The sequence below is a fragment of the Homo sapiens genome, chromosome 17, assembly GCF_000001405.40.
Source record: "Homo sapiens chromosome 17, GRCh38.p14 Primary Assembly".
Lineage (NCBI taxonomy): Eukaryota > Metazoa > Chordata > Mammalia > Primates > Hominidae > Homo > Homo sapiens.
In genome coordinates this window covers 73762449-73785330 of record NC_000017.11, presented here as the reverse complement: position 1 = coordinate 73785330, position 22882 = coordinate 73762449, and the positions used below count along the sequence as shown (strand labels likewise).

General features: G+C 49.9%; 1 long non-coding RNA gene across 1 annotated transcript in view, besides 3 other annotated features; it reads left to right on the top strand.

Annotated features, from left to right (window-relative positions):
* The window catches only part of LINC00469 (long intergenic non-protein coding RNA 469), a 79268-nt gene that overhangs the window by 43207 nt on the left and 13179 nt on the right, over window positions 1–22882 (top strand). The window lies entirely within an intron of this gene.
* Window positions 14098–14597: an enhancer, noted in NCBI's record as "H3K4me1 hESC enhancer chr17:71766873-71767372 (GRCh37/hg19 assembly coordinates)". NCBI's record gives its function as "activates a minimal SCP1, AML or CMV promoter by ChIP-STARR-seq in naive H9 embryonic stem cells {active_cell/tissue: H9 hESC(naive)}" and the evidence as "EXISTENCE:reporter gene assay evidence [ECO:0000049][PMID:30033119]".
* Window positions 14598–15099: an enhancer, noted in NCBI's record as "H3K4me1 hESC enhancer chr17:71766371-71766872 (GRCh37/hg19 assembly coordinates)". NCBI's record gives its function as "activates a minimal SCP1, AML or CMV promoter by ChIP-STARR-seq in naive H9 embryonic stem cells {active_cell/tissue: H9 hESC(naive)}" and the evidence as "EXISTENCE:reporter gene assay evidence [ECO:0000049][PMID:30033119]".
* Window positions 17450–17950: an enhancer, noted in NCBI's record as "H3K4me1 hESC enhancer chr17:71763520-71764020 (GRCh37/hg19 assembly coordinates)". NCBI's record gives its function as "activates a minimal SCP1, AML or CMV promoter by ChIP-STARR-seq in primed H9 embryonic stem cells {active_cell/tissue: H9 hESC(primed)}" and the evidence as "EXISTENCE:reporter gene assay evidence [ECO:0000049][PMID:30033119]".

The window sequence follows — 22882 nt, the reverse complement described above, 5'->3', positions numbered from 1 at the left end:
CAGGCTGGAGATGAGGATGCAGTGCTCTCCCCATCACTGGCCAGCATCCGTTCCTGCGGTGCCCCCTGTCCATCATCCCCCCGTCCCACCCCTACCATGTTGCAGATGCTGGGCACTAGGTGTATCCATGAACAAAGCCATCGTTGACCCTTCCTCCTGGAACTGACAGTCCAGTGGCCTGTTCCTGCTCTCTGGTAAATGACCTGGAGCGTGTGTGGAGTGCGAGGAGCAAGCGGCATCTCCTTTGGTGGTCTAGTTCTCTAACGGCTGAATGAACGGCCGGTGTTTATCCTCTAATGAGTTTTCCATCTCTTCTTCTCCTCACAGGAGGTCAGCGTCATTACAATCACTTTGTTCTACACACGGGTACAGGTGTCCCACAGTGGAGCTCAAGTCGCATGTTAGAATCTCCTGGTGCCCAAGCCTGGACCATTATATCGGAATCTCTGGGGTGGAACCCAGTGTCAGTGTGGAAGGCCCCCAGGGGATTCCCACATGCCCACAGCCCTACACCCTTGCTACTCAAGTGTAGCCTGGGAGGCAGCATCATTTGGGATCTTGTTAGAAATGCTGGATCTGGGTCTTACTCCAGACCTGAGGAGCTGGAATCTGCATTTTAACCAGATCGCCAGGGGACAGCTGAGTATCCTTCCTCATAGGCACTGAAATCCCCTGAAGGAGCCACCCGGTAGAGCTGTGGTCCTGTCACCTCTTCCCTCTGCTCCCTCAGCCTCGCTGTACTGTACATGGGGGGTCACAAGTCCCCAGCATAGGAAAGGAAGCCACTCCTTTCTCCCAGGTTAGTTGTCAACCTGCTGGAGCTCAACCCTGCAGAGAAAGGAACTGGAGACAGGGGAAGGGAGGAGACGCGGGGACCTCAGATCCAGCATGCAAATCACATGCAAATCAGCATCCTGGAGGCTCTTTGCATTTGGGCTGGGGAGAGTCTTGGAACCCTGCAGTGAGGTTAAGAAGTGGCGGTAAGGTTGGGGTTCGCCAGCGCTCTGCATCCTCTCTCCAGGCCAACAGTTCTGCTGGCTCAGGCCTGGCTCATGCAGCGTCTATCTCCGGGCTCCCAGGCAGATGAAAGGCTGTGAGGAGTGGCACCTGGTGGGCCCCCTCCCAGCTCCCCTTCCCCGTGCCCAGCTCCTCTCAGCCAAAGCCTCCACTCCTGACCTCCTTCTTTCATGCCAGCAGCTAGGCCTGAACTCTGGGGCTCCTGGCACCTCCTGCTTTTGTGTCTTATTTGTCAAAATTGTGGCATGTGTCAAGGGCTTAATGCGGAGTGTTTCCTCCTGATTGGCGCTGTTCCCCTGTTAATGGGCAGCACCTGTTTTCCAGGCTGTGGGAGAAAGTGCAGGGAATGGAGGAGAGGTGGAGAGACAGCCCAGCTCATTCCGCTGGGGTGGGGGTCTCAAACTATGGGGGTGCCACTCACGAGCCACAGGCAGCTTGCCCAGACTGAGCTCTGGGTGTCCTCTTTGTGGCCCTAGAGAGCCACGTACTGGGCAGGAGCTGTGGCTCAAGGTGCAGCCCCTCTGGGTCTCCTAATTCAGTGGATTTCTGGCATCTCCACAATAAACATCAGACACGTGCAGACCTCTGATCACCTAGGAGAAACCTTTTCCCAAGGGCTCCTTCCTCCTCTGCAGGTTCCCCTGGTACTGTTTCTATCCCAAAACTAGGTTCAAAAAGCAATGGAAAAGTAGACAACTGAAACTGACACCCAGAGGTCAGAGTTCAAGTCGCAGGACTTCAGGAGAGTCACGTAGCTTCTCTGAGCATTGGTAACTTCGGTGGAAAATGGGCAGAATGAGGCCCATTTTGCTGCTTTCTGGTGAAAATAAAATGAAATATGCGAACGCTCCTAATACAGTGGTGGGCACATTGTAGGTGCTCAAATATGTGTTCATTTCTAGATGGATGCCAATACAATCTGAGTAGTAAATTAGTCCAGTGGTTCTCAAAGTGTGGTCCCTGGACCAGCAGCAGCATCTGGGAACTTGTTAGAAATGCACATTCTCAGGCCCCGCCCCAGACCTGCACAATCAGAAGCTCTGGAAGGGGCCCAGCAGGCTGTGCTCCAGCAAGCCCTCCAGGTGACGCTGTTGCATGCTTAAGTTTGAGAACCAAGGGTGTGGACGCTAAATGTTACAGGTAATACGGCATGAGTCTCTGTGCCCTTCCTTTGAAGTCACATCGATTTGGTGGGAAAATGATACATGGAATGAGCAGAGCAGCTGGCACTTACATGGCATGTACCATGGGCCCATGTGTGAGGTGCTCTTGCATTAACACACTTAATCGTCACAACCACCCTGAGTGCTAGGTGCTGGTGTTGTGCCCATTTTATAGAGGAGGAAACTGAGGCACACAGAGGTAAAGTGATGTGCCCAAGGTGGTAGGATCTGAAGCCAAGCATCCTGCTTCCAGAGGCTGTGGGTGGTGCTTCCTCATAGTATGCAGAGGATGTGGGGACAAGCAGAGGTGGGTAGGGAGAGCCTGGGGACTGAAGGGAACAGGATGTGTGGGAGGAATCCAGACCACATGGCTACTTTGCGACAGAGCTGGATGGAGGACCGGTGTCCAGTCTGGAGCCCTGTTCCCTGCGTCTTCCTATCCTGCCAAGCCCAGATGTTTCAGCCGCGCATCAGGCAGAGGTGCCCTGGGCTTGCTTTGCAGGTGTGGCAAGCTGCACTCCAGAGGCAGAGAGCCTGGACCTGGGGAATCAGTGAGGTCCAAGGTCAGAATCTGGTGGAGGAGGAGGCTGTTGCACACATCAGGCTGAGGGGAGGACAGACAGGAGGTTGTGGGGAAGCCGACTTCGGGGAATTATCTGAGCTCACAAGTTCTCTGATATTAAACTCTCATAGCTTCCTGTACGTCTTTCAACACCTCTGTCACAAATGCAAATCAAAGATGTATTATGTTATTTGCTCAACGTCTACTTGCTCACTATAAGCTTCATGATGGCAAGGGCTGTATCTGTCATGGGACATTGTATCCCCCCGACACTAGCAAGGTGCCTGGCACACAGTAGACAATTAACATTTGCCAAACGAATGAATGAGCAAAGTAAGAACATTGGTGTTCTTTCACCAATGCTCACACCCTCACTGTGATTATTTTCACATGTTTTCCTTCTAGACTGAGACCCCTATGACCACACAGAGTCTTATTTATCTTTGTGTACATAGTTCCCAGAACAATGGCTGGCGTTATTTGTTTTGTTTTTAGTTGAACCCAATCAAATTCTAAAACTCCAGCGGATCCCGTTGCTGAAAAGATCATCTTCCCTGCCCAGGGAAGGAGGGGATGTCAAAGTAGGAGTCTCCAAAATATTGGACTGAATTCCTTTTTCATGATATACTCATAGATTATAACTCTCTGTGTGGGTAGGACCAACAGTCGCATTTCCTGGGTACCAGGACTGAGCCAGGGCAGGGCTCAGCCTTGAGCAGCTTAATCCACAGGGTGGAGAGGTTGAAGCTTTGAGGTAAATAACTCCTGCAAAAGGGCTCCACCTGACCCTCTTTTCTGCAAATCTAAGATTGTGAGTCAACTCTCAATTAACCTCTTCTCCTAGATTCTGTTCATTGCAAAAGGTTTTATTCCAAAGGCAGAAAAACTATTTTAAGGTTACCTCTGTTATTGTGTTGATACCAAACCAGAACAGGTCAGTGCGCTTCCTGTGCAACCAGAAATACGTAGTCTCAGTCACCAAGTGGATGGAAGATTCCATGCAGCAGGAGAGGCTGTCCTGGCTGTTCCTCCTCAGCCTCCTGACCCCTCCCTTCCCTTGTCCACAAGGGCAGCTGCAGAGAGGTGTTGCTTTTTTAGTTACAAATCTCGTTAAAATGATGAGGCTCCCACTTTCGCTTCCCATCCATTGACTCCCCTACATTTCTTGTCCAACCCGCAAACCATCTTTGATAGCCAAAATGGTGCCTTTTCATACAAAAGGACAGGCAGCAGCCAGGCGTGGTGGCTCACACCTGTAATCCCAGCACTCTGGGAGGCCGAGGTGGGAGGATCACCTGAGGTCAGGAGTTCAAGACCAGCCTGGCCAACATGGTGAAACCCCATCTCTGCTTAAAAAAAAAAAATACAAAAATTAGCCAGGCATGGTGGCATGCACCTGTAATCCCAGCTACTCAGGAGGCTGAGACAGGAGAATTGCTTGAACCTGGGAGGTGGAGGTTGCAGTGAGCTGAGATTGTGCCACTGTACTCCAGCCTGGGGAACAGAGCGAGGCTGTCTCAAAAACAAAAAATAAAAAATTAAAAAATTAAAAAATAAAAACAAAGGGCAGGCAGCAAGTCCTAGAGAGGTCTATTTTTGGAAAATTACTAGGCTCGTATCCCAACCTTATTTTTATCCCAAACCTATTTATTCATGAGCTTATAGTTTAGGTAGTTTTGTTCAGGGCAACCTACCAGGAAAAAGCCAGGAGACATGAAGACCCAAGTGAGATGATGCAGAGAGCTCAGGGCAGGTCACCTTACTCCCTGAAACACAATGCTAAGGGCTTCTGTGCCTTGAAGGAAGATGCGTCATGGAGATATTGATTTGCTTTGGTCTGTGCCCTATTTATATGAATGAACTCCTGACTTTGATATTCTCCAGAATGCTCCAGATATACATTCATTCAGCAGGGACTGTGAGAGCCACCGTTTCTCATCTAAGTAGTTAGGGTATTAATGGGGGATGAGGAGGGTGTGAGGAAAGTTGATGGTGGATGGAATGGATGGATAAATAAATAATGACATATCTGTGAAGGAATATTATACAGCCATTAACAATATATGTGCAAAGAATCTTTAATGACATGGAAAATGCTCGTGATATAAAATTAAGTAAAAAAAGTTAGGCTTTAAAATTATATATTGAGCACAAGCCCATGTCATATGTTGAAGAAAGACTGGAAAGAAATATATCAAAGATTGCCTTCTTTATACATGTCTGTATTCTCCCTGTTTCCCATGATGTGCCTTTATCCTGTCTGTTTATTTTTATTTTATTTTTGAAACAGAGTCAGCAAGACTCTGTCCCTCAGGCTGGTGTGCAGTGGCATGATCTCAGCTCACTGCAGCCTTGACCTCCCAGGCTCAAGCAAACCTCCCACCTCAGCCTCCCAAGTGGCTGGGACTACAGGCGCATGCCACCACACCTAGCTAATTTTTGTAGAGACAGTGTCTTGCCATGTTGCGCAGGCTGACCTTGAGCTCCTGAGCTCAAGTGATCCTCCTGCCTCGGCCTCCCAAAGTGCTGGGATTACAGGCATGAGCCACCACGCCCAGCCCCTGTCTAGTTTAAATTTTTCATTTTAAAACCTTTTTGAAGTATAAAAGTAAGACATTCCCCATGTAGAAATAAATGCTAATTATACTGAAAAATAAATTCAAATTATGTAGACATGAAAGCTATACCCCGCCATTAACTCCTATTAATCATTTGGTATATAGTCTCCAGAGATTTATGTATAACGTATATGTATTTTGTACACAAATGTACACATGTATGTGTATATGTATGGGTATATGAATTTTAACATGAACGAGATCAATTTATCTAGATACATGTTATTCATATTTTTTATGTTGAGGATATCAGGCTACTTTTTATATTAAAAATTGTTTTCCTTTTTTTCCTTTTTTTTTCTTTTTTTGAGATGGAGTCTCACTCTGTTCCCCAGGCTGGAGTGCAGTGGTGCAATCTCGGCTCACTGCAACCTCCACCTCCCGGGTTCAATCGATTCTTCTGCCTCAGCCTCCAAAGTAGCTGGGATTACAGGTGCCCACCACCATGCCAGGCTAATTTTTGTATTTTTAGTAGAGACAGGGTTTTGCCATGTTGTCCAAGCTGGTCTAGAACTCCTGACCTCAGGTGACCCAACTGTTTTGGCCTCCCAAAGTCCTGGGATTATAGGCATAAGCCACCGTGCCTGGCCTAACGTTTTTCCAAATACACAATTTTTGGTTTGCAGATGTCACTTTAAAACAGGGAAAGTATCCTGTATTACCCAGAGAGAGTATCCTATCATTATACAGGTAGATCTAATGTAATCACAAAGGTTTCTACAGGAGGAAGGCAGGAGGGTCAGAATCGGAGAGGAGACTCGATGAAGGAAGCAGAGGCCTGAGTGAGGTGGTTGCTGGCGGAAGGGGCCATGAGCCAAGGAATGCAGGCAGCCAGTGGAAGCTCGAAAAGGCAAGGAGCGGCTTCTTCCTGGAGGCCTCCAGAAAGACAAAAAGCTCTGCTGACATCTGATGGGGCTCAGCCCCCTGAGACACCCACTTTAGACTTCTGACCTCCAGAACTGTAAGACAATATATTTGTGATGTTTTAAGCCACTAAGTCATACTGTGTTGTAGTGGCAATAGAAAACTAAGACGCTTTATCTGGCTGGGCGCAGTGGCTCACTCCTGTAATCCCAGCACTTTGGGAGGCTGAGGTGGGAGGATCATTTGAGCTCAGGAATTCAAGATCAGCCTGGGCAACATAGCAAGAGCCCATCTCATTCTTTTTCATATAGTTTTTAGTAAATTAATAAAAGAAAAAAAAGAAAACTAATACACCATATCTCAGGTTACCTTCTGGAAGAATCTACCCCAAGACTCAGAATTTCACTTAATTCTCTTACGTTCAGTATGGTGCCTCCACCATGCATGGCTTCTGTAATGGGAACTTTTCTACATATTTTCCTTATATAATAAAAAAACACATACTTTTTAACCGAAAAGTTCTAATGTGTAGGTGAGGGGGTATAAACTTGCTAAACGACTCTTACAGGCCAAGTACTGTGTAAGCATGTAGGTACCATAGTGAGCAAAACACAGATTTCTGTCCTCATGGAGCTTGTATTCTAGCAATTCTGGTTGGGGGAGACAGTAAATAGCAACCAAAAGAAATAAGTAAATTATGTAGTAAGAAGGGATACATACAATGAAATACAAGCAAAAGCACAGGAGAGGAGAAAGACTGGGAGTGTAGGATGGAGGTGAGAAGCCAGTGGCATGTTTGTCTTTCTTTTCTTTTCTTTTCTTTTTGAGACAGAGTCTCGCTCTATCACCCAGGCTGGAGTGCAGTGGTGCCATCCCAGTTCACTGCAACCTCTGCCTCCCGGGCCCAAGCGATTCTGCTGCCTCAACCTCCCAAGTAGCTGGGACTACAGGCATGTGCCACCAAGCCCAGCTAATATTTGTATTTTTAGTAGAGACGAGGTTTCACCATGTTGGCCAGGATGGTCTCGAACTCCTGACCTCGAGTGATCCACCCACCTTGGCCTCCCAAAGTGCTGGGATTACAGGCATGAGCCACCACGCCTGGCCCTGGCCAGCATGTTTAAATAGGGTGCCTGATGTCAGCTCATTTGATTTATTCCTTTGGTAGTCGCTTATTTCACATTCATTCTGGCTATAAGTCCTTTACAAATATTAAATCATTGAATCCTCATTATAACAGTATGAATTAATGTGATTATTTCCCCATTTTACAGAGAAGAAAACTGAGGTAGGGAGAGGTGAAATACCATTTGCAGTGTCAGGTGGTCAGTAAATGTCAGCAAAGGCCCTTGAGGCCAGGCAGTGGGGCTCCAGTCTGTGCTCTTATCCTCTGCACAATGCTGCCTTATGCCTTGAAATAAGAATCTCAAGGCAGTAATGGAGTCAGCCATCAGCCATGCAGGTCTCTGTGGGACAAGCCTTCCAGGCAGAAGGAACAGCCAGTGCAAAGGTCCCGAGGCAGGGGACTGCCTGGGTTATTTGATCATAGGGCAAGGCAGCCAGTGGGGCTGCTGTGGGGTGGGTAGGGCGGGCAGCTGGGGAAGGGGTGGTCAGAGCGGTCACTCAGGCCACATTGCAAGGGGCCCTGAGGCCATGGCGAAGACCCAATTCTCGTTCTGGGAAAAGGAGGAGGTCTGAACGGTTTGAGCTGTGAGTGGCTCACCCTGGCTGCCATGCTGAGCATGGGCTGCCAGGGTCAGGATGGGGCAGGAGTCCCAGCTGGAGCCGGAGAAAAGCACTTGAAATGGGGAAGAATGATGTGGGATTCTGGGCAGTTTGAAGCAGAGCCGGCAGCATTTCCCAATGGATGGAATGTGGAGTGTGGGAGAAAGAGATGCATCTGTCCTGGCTCATAGATGTGTGGCCCGAAGAACAAACTGGAAGGACAGGGTTGCTCTATGCCGAGATGTGGGAAGAGTCTGTTTGCTTTCTGAGTGTGGCAGCTCCCTCTGAGGATGAAATCACAGCATAACACATTGGAATGGCAATAACTGCCTTGAGACAGAGGTGTTATATCCAAGAAAAAGCGCTTTCAGAGGAGGCTGTGGTTGAAATAATAATGATTGTTTTGATGCATTCCGTATCCAACTGATGGAAAGCACACTTAGCAAGTCAAGAAAAACATGAAAGAATCCAAAGGGCTCCAGGCCAAGACCCAAGTTGACATCCTAAAGCCGCCTGGGAAGTTGAGAGGAAATCGTCTCCCTGCCCCTCCTGGGAGTTGGGGCAAATGGCACCATGAGGACCCTAGCCTCCACCGGGGCGTCTTGGGCCACATCTCGCTCCAGCAGTCAAGCCTCCGAGCTGCCGATGTACGGATGTGGTAAGGATTGCCGATGACTTTTTCATCGCTTTTACGGCAACTCTCACTGCATCCGCCATTCTTTGCAAGGAGAATGTGAATGAACTTCAGATTGAACTACAGACAGAAGAAATTCTTCCTGCCAAAGACACTTAAAACCCCTCCCGTCGGCACCGAGCCCCAAGAATTCTGATTGTGGCAGAGAAAAAACAGCCAGCAAAGATAATACCAAATAGTATAAAAATAGAGTGGGCTTAAGGCAGAGAGACAGAGAGCTGTAGTGTCTCACGCTCACTACAAACATTTACAGAGCATGCAGCTGGGAGGCAAGACCAGCCAAGGAGATACCAACGCCACGAAGCTCTGGGCGAAAGAATCTTGCTAATACTGACATCCATTTCTTCGGGCCTTCATTTGATGAATATTGAGGTGTACAAAGCTCACAAAGGTGTCACGTCCAACATGTCTCTGATGGCGCTGATAGACCGAAGGGGACTGTTTTCAACAATTTGAGCCAAGGTGCTGATGTCCGGCGTGTGAAACCTGGGTAAGCAACCATCTCCAACACAGGCATCTCCATGGGCAGGGCATAAGCCACGCTGCCCAGGACCACCTGTCCCCGCTCCCTGCCTTCACGATCATTCTGTTTTTACCCCTGGGGTTAGGGATCGGAGGAAGGCTGCAGTTTCCTAGCGACCATCTGTCCCTCATCCTTACTATTCCCTGTTTCTGCTTGTGAGGGTGACGTGGGTTTGCGCCTGGGAAGGGCATCTTGTAAGGCTTTCTGTTTGTCAATCTGTGAACAAATATCTATATCCAGTTTACTTCAGGCCAGGCCTGTGCTAAGCGCTGTCATGTAATAGGCTCTCAATAAATATTTGTGAGGCTTCAGGGATATAAACCTTATGAGCCTACCTGGACAGAAAGCCAGGTCCCTTCTCCAAAAACTTCCAGACATTTTCCCTCGAAGCAATGTCCAGGGAGAGAGGCCAGTGGGACATGGACGGGGGTACCCAGGATGGGTAGGGGATGGGACCTCAGTTCTCTGCATAGAGTCCCCACGCACCAGGCATTTGCCAGGTCTGCTGTGGCAATGACGTCCCACCCTGTTAGTTTCTCTCACTTCCAAAGCTCCAGGAAAAGCACTCAAGCCTTGGTAAATACAGTCTCTCAACTGCAGCCCTCACCTTCAAACCTGATTCCTTCTCTCCAGCCCTCAGCCTTGACTGTTCGAGTGAACCTGGTCAGCATTTCTGACCGACCTGTCACTTGGGTCTCTAGTCTCATGCTCTGGGACTAATGGATCACATCATCTGGGACAGGTGCCCATGCCTGGGCAGACCCATATACATGCAGTCCTACTCGGTTATAAATATCTATGGAGTGCAATACCAAATAATTGTGGGGCATATTTCACCCTGCCTGTTGAACACATTGCAAGAAAGGAATTGATCCCTGCTGTTTCATTTATTAGATGGTGTAATACCACAAAAATCGTTTCCACAGTATCCCAAACTAAATCATTTATTCTTGACAAAAATCCAATAAAGAGCTCAATCCTTCTCCATAGGCAGATAAAGCACAGATTAATGGGACTGCCTAGATCAAAAAATGCTGGGAAAATGAAAGCAAGATAGAGAGAGAAGCCTCCTTCCTCCTCCTCACTTCCCCAAGACTGCCTCGGCTCAGGGTTTTATTACAAAAAGCCGCCTAAGTATTACAGGCTAATCCGTAAATCCCAGCCTAGTAAAATATGTGACGGATTTGTAAATTGTGCCCTTTACAAATCTGATTGAACTTTTTTTTTTTTTTGGCTGGGAATTTTGCCTTTCTCCTTTTCCTCTTCTTCTCACCTTGTCCCATCTCGCTGGGTCCCCAGTGACCCGGAACCCTGCATCTGACAGTGTGGGCCCCCAGCACTGGCAACATTCCTGGTATGTTCAGCCCTTCCATGACCCTTCTATGACTTGACTGACAGAGGGTGGAGATTGTTGGTGGTACGAGAGGCTGAGAAAACCATCATTCTCTTTATTTACCATCTAAGGGGAAATGAGATTCAGATGGGGCCAGGGCCCCAGGGCCAGGCGTAGCAATGTCAGGGGCACAGGGCATGCTTGCAGCCAAGTATGAACGTGGTGAAGGATTTGTACATTGTTTCCAGTGGAGACAGGAGTAGATCAAGCTGGTGACCTTCAGATCCACAGACTGGCTGCTCAGAAGAGCCTTTGCCTTGGCTGGGCGCGATGGCTCACGCCTGTAATCCCAGCACTTTGGGAGGCTGAGGTGGGCAGATCACGAGGTCAGGAGATTGAGACCATCCTGGCTAACACGGTGAAACCCCATCACTATTAAAAATATATATATACAAAAAATTAGCCGGGCATGGTGGCAGGCGCCTGTAGTCCCAGCTACTTGGGAGGCTGAGGCAGGAGAATGGCGTGGACCCGGGAGGCTGAGGCAGGAGAATGGCGTGAACCCAGGAGGCAGAGCTTACAGTGAGCCGAGATCATGCCACTGCACTCCAGCCTGGGTGACAGAGCGAGACTCCATCTCAAAAAAAAAAAAAAAGAAGAAGAAAAAAAAGAAGAGCCTTTGCCAGCAAATCTCATTCTGCCCACTGACTTGAGCCCACTACCTTCAACCACCCAGAGCAGGTGGTTCTCCAGGGTCCATCCACTGTACCTGGTCCACACTGTCCTTGGCGTGCACTCCATCTAGGGTACCAACCATCTCAGTGTGCCCGAGACTGATGGGGCTCCCAGAAGGCAAGACTTTCAGTGCTAAAAAGTCTCAAGCAAACCGAGATGAGTCACTCGCTGGCTGTGCATCCTCTGCCTGAAGTTCTGGGCCTTCTGCACCCTGAGAAGAGCTAATCACTCAGGCCAGCTTTTAGCTTTCTCTGCCTGAAACCACTTCCCTTGCAGAAGCAGAAAAGTGCCCGAGCAATAGCATGGGCTTGGTAGTCATCCAGCCCTGGGTTTGGGTTCAGGATACCCGTGGCCATTGGAAAGTCACATAGCCTTTCTCGGCCTCAGTTTCCTCATATGAAAAGTGGAGATAATAATACCTACTTAATTGGATCATTGTGCTAATTAAATGAACAACAAAAGTGAAGCATCTAGCATAGAGTAAGCACACGGCAATATCATCATCATCATCATTGTTTGAACACATCTCCTTAAGTAAGACTGAAAAAGAAAAGTATGACAATGGTGAAAAGCCCTTTGAAAGCTGGTGCAATGACAACCCCCCGACCATCTCACTAGAGATATAGCTCCTTATTCTTGCAATCTGAGCACTGGCCAAAGCCCAGATGTCAGTCTTTAAAGGAGCCAGTAATGCGAGCCGCTGGGACGCAGATGATAGGATGGAAACCAGGTCTTTCTGCTTGGTGCTGTGCCTCACATAGTTTCAATCTATGGGGCTATACCCCAGCGCCCCAGGAAAACGACTGCTTCCTCTTCTTACAGATTTTACAAAGGCAAAGGAAAGAGCCACCTGGGATGGTTGCCCTATCAACTTTCCTCAACCACCGCCCCCTACACACTTAGGCCTGTCCAGCATGGAAGCAGGGCTAGAGAAACAAGGAAAGGAGAACGGTCCTGGACCAGCAGCCTGGAATGGCATTTCACAGGCTCTAGAAATGTGATAGAGAGTACCAGCCCTGCAAACAAGAGTGCTGCTCCCTGATCCTGCTCATCCTGTTGCCGTCTGGGGGTGAAATTGTCTTCAGAATTCTAGATTGATTGACTGCTGGGAAGTTCGTCCTGCTGTTCCACCTCCATCCCTCCCAAGGATGAGGGTGCCTTTGGAAGGGACAGGTGCCCATGCTTGGGCAGACCCATATACATGCAATCATACTCGGTTACAAATACCTAGAGAGTGCAGTGGAGGCAGTGGGGCAGTGGAGAGCTCAGGACCTTTTCCAGGTCCAAGAGCCTAACAACACTGCATCTTGCTTGGGTCCTAAGATAGGCCTTCTGCAATGAGGCAGGGAAACTAGGAACAACTTGTAGATAGGGGATTTGCCTCCCCAGAACACTCTAAAAAAGTGGAGTTCCCATCTGCTGTGTTTCTGAAAGCAGAAGGAGTGGATTCTGTGAGCTCAGGCTGCTCCCACAGAGCCAGGGTCCTCCTTTTTGTCCCTTGGAACATCCAGTTGGCGCCTCCACTGCCCCAGTCAACCTTTATCCCTCTATTTCCTGCTGAGAGTTAATCTTATTTCCTGCCTTCTGGGTGTTTAGCTTGGCAACCCAGAGAGCCACTCAGCTGGACCTCTCCCATTCTGCTGATCACAGCTGGGAGAAGGTTAGAGAATGTGACTCCCACAGCCATGGCCCTGGATGGGGTCTCCCGGGCAGTTTATCCTGCCATTGTGGTTCTTGGCATTGAGATGCAACGATTCTAGTTCTGTTATTGAGGGGGTGCTGTGTGGGTGTGAGGGAAGCAGGTGATCGGTCAGGGGGTTGAGGGGCAGTTGCCAGGGTGTGGGAGGGGAGGGGGAAAGCTGTGCCCATTACTCTTTTGTGGACTTGGAGGTGAAAAAAAAATCAATGAGACATCCTGTTTCAACTCATCCTGAGTTCAAGTTTAAGGGCATTTGAAAAAGTGCTCGTTTTCTTTTCTGGGGTGGGTGGTCATGACATGAAAGAGGACGTACCAAAGGATGGGGTTCCCATTCAGTGGGAGGTTTCATGGTGTCATCCCTCCACCCATCACTCAAAAGGCCTAAGATCTGGGAGGCAAGATGAGGTCTTTGTAGATAGCACAGGCTGGGGTCTAGGTTTGGGAGCCCCTTGGTCATGACCTGGCTCCCATTCCCATACCCCTGTTGCTCCATCGAGAGCCCATAGATCAACCACCAAAGCTCCATTCAGGGTCTTGTAGATTTCGTTCCCTCATGGAGGATTTTAAAGGGAAGGAGGGCAGCTAGCAAGGCCAAGAGGCATGAGAAGCAGGGCCCCTGTGTTACCACCACACCAAAGCTTACCTGAGTGGAGCTTGGCAGCTCTGTTCCCCCTGATTCTCCCAGGCATCCTTCCAGAAGTCCTAAAGTCAAAATGCCAGAGATCTGGCCACGTGGGTTCCTGCTAGCTTGTCCCAGCCAGCACCCAAGAGACCACAGGGCATGATGAGTAGAGGGAGTGCCAGAGCAAACTCATTGGACTCAGGGTGAGCATCTCAGTAATTTCTTATTTATTGGCCTCCTCCAGTCCCACAATCACTGGTTCTGCTCAATATTTTATTCTTGTTGCACCTACTCAGGCGGCAGAGCTGCAGGCATTTTTGATAAATGGATTGAAAGGTTTGTCTACTTTTGCTGAAGCTTCCATAAGTGCCTCTGTATCCTCCACTGAAATTATATTTCCCAACTTCCTACAGTGATTTCTCTCCCCTCGTGACTCCTCTCTTCCTATTTGCTAGGTCTTGTGCACTCTGTCTCTCTCTTCTCCCCATCTCCTACAAACACATACACACACACACACACACACACTCATGCAGAGATGCCCATATCCATGAACTCACAAACTTAACTACCCCTATGACCACTCAGGGGAGCAATATACAAGGGACCAGAGAGTATATCTATCCATTGACAGGGACGCACATACAACAGCCATGCACACAGTACATCCCCTCAGGCACACGAATATAGATGCACACATGAGCTGTGGCTTGTGATTGAAATCTCCATGCTGCTCTTTCTAAGCTCATCCAGACTCAGACCCTGATGGCAGGCTGCAGAGACCACAGGTCCACCCTGAGCAAGGGAGGACACAGATGGGCAGACGCCAAGGAGAAGCATGGTGCCCCAGTGATCCCCGCTGGGGACCCCAGTGAGCCTTCGAAGAGCCCTGCCCCATCAGCGGGCTGACTCCCCCAGCCCTCCTCCAGCCCTCCTTCATCCTCACCCGCCTGCCTGGCCTCAGCAGCCCCAGTGGGCCAGCTGGAGGCTTTATCCCAGCCACATCTGAAACAGCTCAGGAGCTGTGCCTGGCCGCCAGCCGTTTCCATAAATAACTTGCTGGGCCTGGCTCCTTGCCCTCCTGGTGATGTCATTGGCCTTGGCCCAGATGATGAGGTCACAGGCTTCCCTTCCCTCGCCACTCCCTTGGGGTGGGATGGGGGAAGCATGAGACCTTCTTCACAGAGCCTGTCTGCCGAGAACCTGCCTGTCTGCGCCCCATCCTGTTCCAGCCCGGCCAGGCAGTGGATGTGGGTTCTCCACCATCTGGGACTGCCTGCATGGTGGTGCCAGATGGCAGCCTTCCCCCTCCTTGTCACCAGTTCCTGAACAGCCTCCCAACTTTTCCATCTCCCCACTGCCTTCTCCCCTTGTCATGATGTGATTTCCAGGGGACAGTGGACTTGGTGCCCGGATGGAGCTCCCCCTAGGTCCAAATCCTGGCTACCCCACCCACTAGCTGTGTGACTCCGGACAAGATGCTTCACCTCTCTGTGCCTCTGTTTTCTCATCTTTAAAATGGAGGCACTGATAGGACCTATCTCAAGGGTTGTCGTGAGGCTGACATGGGCTCATACCTATAAAACACAGTGCCTGGCGCATTAGTAGACAAATAAATTGATTCCATGATCACACTTCCCTGTGCCTGCGTGTGCTGGGGAGAGGGGAGGCTCTTGCTTTGTGCATTTTCAAATATGTGGCAGGCAGAGGCACCCGTGATCTCCTGTCTGTGGCTCTCACATCCCCCACAGTCACCAAAGATTCCATTTTCCCAACTTGGGCTCTCCCCATCGCCTCATTCTATTCCAGTGGTGGCCCCAGCTGATTCCCAGAATCATTGCTTTGGTCCTGGAAGTGGGAATGGCCAAGATGTGAGAGGGTCTTTGAGAGCTCCAAGGTGTTCTGAGGCCCCACAGCCACCCCACTCCACAATTACCTCCAATAGAAGAGAGCCAGACTCCCTCCCTGGCCAGCACTAAGGTCACCAACATGAACAGTATCAGACAACACAGAATGACCAGCCAGGAGCCCGTGGGCATTGGCTCCAGATGTGTGAGTTTGGAGAATGCCCTGCGGAGGCCATGGGGAGATGGCCGTCTCTGGACTGGAGAGTGGAGAAGTTTCACTGTGATTTCATCACTGTGCTGTTGGATATGACAGCCCTGAGCCACATGTGGCTATTGATCACTGGACACTGGGCTAGTGAGGTGCCTGAAGTGTGGGATACACACAGGACTTTTAGGACCCAGTATGAAAAAGAGATGGCAAGATATCTCATAAATAATTCTTTTATATTTATTATGCATGGAAATCATGGCATTTTTCATATATTGGGTTAAATGACGTATGCTATTGTGAGCAATCTCACCTGTTTCTTTTCACTTTTTTTTAATGTGGCTGCTGGAAAATGTAAGGCTACACGTGTGGGTTGCGGTGTCTTTCAATCAGGTAGCCCGGGCCTGTTCTCTCACTGAGTGCTAGAAAACATTCTTTGGCTCCCATCCCGAGGGTTCTGACTTGGTGAATGTGGTGTCTTCCGGAGCTTAGGGCTGCTGCCTTCAGCCAAAATATGCCCGCACCCCTTCATCAGTATCTGGAGAAGACCGGGACTGGGCACTGTACCAGGTGCTCTGGTTTCCTCCCCACGTGTGGTCACCGCCTGCCCACCATCCTGAGCTCAGCCTTATATATTTAAGGGGGGGCTCCCTAAATTTGGCCAGAACACCCCCAGGACATCAAGCACTCAGTGCCACGTGGCCCCTCCTATTCTTCCCGCCACAGCTTGTAGCACCTGCCTAGAAGTTGTGCCTCTCTTCTCCCTTCATGTAGATCTTATTCATGCTTTAAAACCTAAATCAGAAGTCACCTCCTCCATGAAGCCTTCCTGGACCCCTCCACTGGATGAGTCACTCTGGACCATCATAATACTTTGCCTCAAACTCAGTGAAGCTGTTTCTCAGAGTGTGTGTCCTGATAGAAGGTGTTACATGCCAGGCCATTTCTGTTCACATAAATCTTCATCACAATCTCAAGAGGCAGAAAGTAGGATTATTCTTATTTTCTATATGAGGAAACTGAGGGAGAAAGATTAAGCATCTTGCCAAGGTGGCAGAGTTTATAGTAAAGAAGCAGAATTCCTGCCCATGGGGTCTGATTCCCAGGTCATGCTCTATCTGTCATGCCTGATGGCCCAGTCACAGGTAGCATCATTCCTGGTACCCCCCCAAAAGACAATGACAGTATTGAGAGTGGGGCCCCAGTTTATCCATCACTGTAATCCCCATGTTATTCACTCAGGTTTAGGCACACAGTAGGTGCCCAATAAATGTGGACTGAATGAAACCAGCATTTAGTTATTAGCCTTACTGTGCTTTGAAATTGGGTCCTAGTACCCATGTCCCCAAGGCCAGCCCTGGCCATCTCCCACCCCTCACTCCACCCACCTCCATCCTGCCTTCAAGGCTCAGTGGCCTCTCCGTACCTCCCCAGGGAGTTTTGAACTGTGCTTGTTCAAAACTCAGTTATTGTCGTGCGACCTCTGTTAGCCAGAAATTAATTCCCCAGGTTACCACTACATAAAAACTCAACTCTTTTTATGGTCTCTATATGCCTTGCCCTTTCCTCTTATGCAGGTCTCTCTGTACTTCTAGGGAATAAATAAATACAGTGTAACTTTTAGCAGACTTTATCCACTGTAGCCCTCCGGGCACCGTGGGGCCTGGAGCCAGCTAGAACCCCAGCTGCATCTGGGGGTTGGCAGGTGGGGCATTGGGAGGATTCTGTGTCTCACCCTAGAGCTCTCTGTTCTGGGGACTCCCTGGGTCTTCACCAGCCAGGCACAATCCCCATCGTGGTCCATGGCTGCACCCCTCCTGCCAAAGCTCCCTTGAGGAGTTGTTGCCCCCTGCTGCACCCACTCCTTGCACCTGTAACCACACTTGACAGTGGTGAAATTGGCAGCAGCGGAAGGAACGCCCACTGAATTTCAGTAGTGGGTCAACCCCAGTGCTGATAGAGGCTGGGCCAAGGGGCACAGCGTTCGGGGACTCCAGCTACTGAAACCCCCTCCCATCCCAGGGAAAGGCATCAGAGAAGATTTTTGTCTGGCTTCTAGACCATGCCCTGTGATTCCAGAGGGTCCCTCATGTAGGTGGTGGGGTCTACGACTACCCTGGAGCCATGAAGCTCCCCTCCCGCATTTATATCAGGGCTGAACAATCTCCACCTTGCTCATGTCCCAGTGGGACCTGGACTCAATGGTATGCTTGCTAGTCTGGGATCAAAGGCCAGTAACTCTGACAATGTTTCTCATCAGGAAGGCAGGGGGACATCTCTGTTCTCCTAGTTCCCACAGAAAGATCTATGTGTGGGTTGAGTCAATACTCTGTTGGAAGAGAGAAGCTCTAGTCTCTGCAGGGACAAGCCAGCTAAGGGCCCTGTCAATTTCATTTCCCTTTCACCATTTAACCAAGAAACATCCCAGTCTTTTTTTTTAAAAAGTCTCCATGTAGTAAATGATGATTAACACCAAAAAATAAGGGCCTCTTTCCTTTCCCCTTCTAGTTTTCCTATGTTTGAATCCCAGGGCAAAACCACCTTGTTAGGTTGCCTGGTCCGTATATCCACCTCAAACTGGCTCTACAAGAAACCCTTTGGATTTTTGTACCAATCCTCAGAGCTGGGAATCCTTCGCCTCCGGCCTACAGTCCTCGTGCTGCCTCTACTGGATCCAGCGATTGCTTGGGGACAAACGATCATTTCTCAGCTTAGGAATTGTGAGAAGAAGGTATTTAGGCTCTAGGTAGAACTGCCAGATTTAGCAAGTCAAATCACAGAATGCCTAACAACAAAACTAAACAGTGGGTAGGGTTTTGGCATAAGTATGTCCCATGCAATATTTGAGATATACTAGAATTTTCCCCATTGTTTCTCTGAAGTTCCACTTTAGCTGGGTATCCTAGCCCTGGGCTGCAGCCTCAGGCTCCCAGAAGTGATTGTGGGGTCTGTGGGTTGTCAGCCTACAGAGAAGGATTATGTCTATAACTAGTCCCACCAGTGACGACACACAGTCTTTACGGTAAGGTGGGGTAAGTTTTGTGCTCGGGATGAGCTGTTTAGGGTGGTCCGGCTCTCCCTTTGCCATGGAAGAATGAAGCCTCCCTCTCTTTCTGGCCTTGAAAATGCCCCAGCCTTTGCTCACTCTCTCTTTCCCCGCCCTAAGTCCCTGTAATGGACCTCAGGGTCCCCTGTGGGCTCCAATCTCCTGTAATGAGTCGGTTGCCATGGGTGTGTTTGGCTCCAGCAACCGTGGCTCTTGGGACCAGTTGACTCATGTTCAAGTACACCTTTGGAGTCCACGTGCTCCTCTACTGCTGCTGCCCTTGGCTCAGCAGGAATCTCACAGCTAGAGTGTTTCTATATCTGGGGCCTTCCCAAGCTCTACACCCCCATCTCACCGCTCCCTGCCCTCCATAAGAAAGTTTCCGGGGATGGGAGCAGCTATCTCTGAGATAATTGCTTAATTAGGGGAAAATTACTTAAATTTCAGCAGCAGCAGCAGCGGTAGCAGCAGCAGCCACTGTGCTGCTCTGACTATAAAATCCTCTAAAACCCAGTTCCCTTAGAAAGGAGATCACTGCCCACTCAACACCTACTCCTCCTTCTCCAGGGAGAGGGCAGGAGAGAACCTGAGCGGGATGTCAGGGGCCTCTCGCACACACACTTGGACACACACACACCCCTACATCCATGCACACACGCACAAACACTACATCCGTGCATATGCACACACACAGGCCCTCACCATCGCAGCTGGGCTCTGCTAGACGTTGGTGAGCTTGTGATTTTATCAAAGTCCAGAGGCGGACATATGTTACGGACTGAATACTTGTGCCACCGCAAAAGTCGTATGTTAAAGCCCTAACCTCGAATGCAATGGTATTTGGGGTATTTGGAGGTGGGGACTTTGGGAGTAGATTAGGCTTAGATCAGGTCATGAAGGTGGACCCCCAAGATGAGATTTGTGTTTTTTGGAGAAGAGGAAGAGAACAAGGCTGCTTCTTTGTGCCACATGAGGATACAGTAAAAAGTCAGCAGCCGGCACGCCAGGAAAAGATCCCTTACCAGAACCCAACCATGCTGGCACCCTGAGCTCGGACTTACATCCTCCAAACTGTGAGGAACAAATGTCTGTTAAGCCCCCCAGTCTATGATATTTTGTTATAGCAGCCTGAGCTACGATAACACACGTTCTGGAAAGAGCCTGAGAGCAAACATGTTAGGCATTTGTTTCAGCTACTCAATGAGGCCAATGTAGCATGAGCAGTCACAAACGATACTGAAATGCACAAGCAAAGCTGCATTCCAATAACACTTTATATGTGGCCCTGGAGCCAAAGTTTGCTGACCCCGTCAAAGGCTAACTATTGGGATGCAGCTGGAATGATTGGGCTTAGGTGGTTCTCGGCGCCTTGGGGGATGATCTCTGTGAGCAGCCCGGCTCCACCAAGGCCCAGGGAGCTCCGAGAAATGATTGTGCTTAGCTGTGAGGCTGTCACAGTTGCAAATATGGGCCATGGGGGCAGGCAGTTCTGGCCCAAATTCTTGCTATATGATCTTAGACCAGGTATTCAACTCTCTGAGTTTCCATTTTCTCATTTCCAAATTGATCATCATAATGGTTCCTTCCTCTCAGGGTCATGGTGGCAGGGCCCAGGGATCATGGGGTGAAGCTGAGTCTGGTCCATAGTCAGTGCTTATGGGTGTCAGCTTCTGGGAGTGTGTTTTGGATCTCAGAGGAGAGTCCTGGTAGGAAGGTTTTAGGGTTTCTCTTCCCTTTTCCCCTCCAAACTTGTTACAATCCTATCTTCCCTTGGGATTGTGCCTCTTCTGAAGAGTCAAAGAGAAGACAGTGGAAAGCCACAGGGTTCCTGGCTTCCCTGCTGCCCCGACAGAGGCAGATGCTGGCCAGGGTGAGCCGACCCCACCCCACCCACCCCTGCCCACCCGTGGCAACCCTTTGTCCTGCCTAGCTATCCTGGCAGCCCTGGCCTGCAATGAACATTATCCTGGAGGGGACCGACCATCCTCCAGGCTACCCACAGTGGGTGCTGGAGAGCCCCCTTCCCCAGCATCCCTGTCATCCAGTGTCTTCCCTCTCCTCCTTCCAGGCTGCCTCCTGCCTGTCAGCTCTCCTCTACACAAGGCCACCCATCCAGAGACGCTCCCTTTTCCCCTGGGAGCCCAAACAGCCTCCTATAACATCACCATGGGCCGAAGAGAAACCTCAGTCTAGAAGGAGTGGTCCATAAACTGTGATCAGGCATTGGAGACAAGATGCCCATGCTGATATTGGTATCAGGAGAGATGGTGCAGGTACCCATCAGGCCAGCTGCCAAAGGTGGAGCAGAGGTGGCAACCCGGGGGCAGGGAGGGGATAGAAATCCCGGTAGTGGCCATGAGCAGGAAAGTGGAGCAGAACAGGTGCAAGGGAGCTTGGGGCCATGGGTTCAGAGAGTCTGGAAGCAGGAACAATTCAAGACCTGGATCCTAGGAGAGCCAGATGCTCAGGAAGGTTAACCAGGAATAACCGTGCTTGGGTGAGAACTCTGGGAGGGAGATGGGCAGGAGATCCGGCAGAGCAGTGCCTGCACGTATTCTTGACTGGCAGATGGACAGACAGACATCAGGCCCAGCAGCGAACTTATTCCACTGTGAAGTGGGTAATAAAACTTTATATGAGGCCCTAGAGTCAGGGCCACATCTAGCCTGAGAAGCCAGTTTGTTGACAGGTCTGAAAAATCCTCCGGAAGTTAATTAGATCACTCAGATCCCATTGAAGCCTTCGCCATCCTCCTGGTTGCTCTTCTAGGTGCTCTGAGTCCCTTGCACTGCCTCTCTCCTAGAGATAGTTTTAATGTATTATAATTACTCGGGAACATATTGATCTTCCTTATTCGCAGTGAGGTTCTAGAGGCAAAGATAATAGTCTTATTTAGCATTATATTTCCAGTGCCAACCACTGGGCCAGTGCAGAGTAGTTGCCAATACGTATCTATTGACGGCAGAAACCAATATAACTTTTCCTGGTGTCTATCAATGTCCCACCCTCACCCCCAGCCATCCTACCAAGCCCACCCACCCTACCATCTTGACACAGCGCCCACTGCCTGGACCCTCAGGGCCTCCTGCTTAAAACATAACTAAGTGGTGTAAAGTCTAGATACCAGCTTCCTTTAAATCATGGTCTGATGTTTTGTGTACTTTAAATAAACCACTGAGTGGATGAGACTGGCAAGACCACCACGGGAGAAGAGACGTCAGGGCTAAGACACAGGGACACAGCCTTGGGGACAGAGGCAGAGATGAAGGTTGTCCCAGCACCAGGAAGTTGGTGGAGACATCCATCTGGGCTCTGTTAGCTGAAAACCTCAGGAGCACCCCTTCCTGGGGTCTGTCTGCTCACCCACTCCCCTTCCAGTCCCCTTGCCTGCTCCTAGGCTGCTGAAAAGAAATGGAATCAACTTCCAGCTGCTCTGCTTGTGGCTGGATTCTTCACTCTTCCCGGGAGATGTCTCCCTCCCACAGGCAATTGGACCAGCAGCCAGGCCTTGGGACTAAAAGAGAGGTCTGAGCGGCGCTTGTGTCACTGGGGCTTAAGTCTTGAACAAAGCCTGTCTGACTGGGTTCTCCCAGGCTGGGTGGGCTGCCACTTAGGGGCCAGCAACAGGGTGCCCTTTTTTTTTTTTTTTTTTTTGAGACAGAGTCTTGCTCTGTTGCCCAGGCTGCAGTGCAGTGGCGTGATCTTGGATCACTGCAACCTCCAACTTCCTGGTTCAAGCAATTCTCCTGCCTCAGCCTCCCGATTACAGGCACCCACCACCATGCCCGGCTAATTTTTGTATTTTTAGTAGAGACGGGGTTTCACCATGTTGGCCAGGCTGGTCTCAAACTCCTGACCTCAGGTGATCCGCCTGCCTTGGCCTCCCCAAGGCTGGGATTACAGGCATGAGCCACCGCGCCTGGCCGACAGGGTGCTTTAACTAGGCTGGCACCTCACTGCACACAGTGAATCAGAGTCTCTCCCACGCTATTTCTGGGCCTGCTCTGTGGGATTCACGCCCTTGTGTGCTCCTGACCTGCAAAACCAGGCCCATTTGTAGCTGTGTTTTTCTCCCAGAAATGAGGCCTAATTGCCTAAAAGCAGAGAGTGTAGGAGTCTTGGCCCACTGCTCACCTCCTCAGCCAAATGAGTTGGAACTCTGACCCCAGCCCCAGTCTCTGGCTCTGTCCTTGCTCCCTTGGGACCTCAGCCCTGCCTGGGATCCTGTT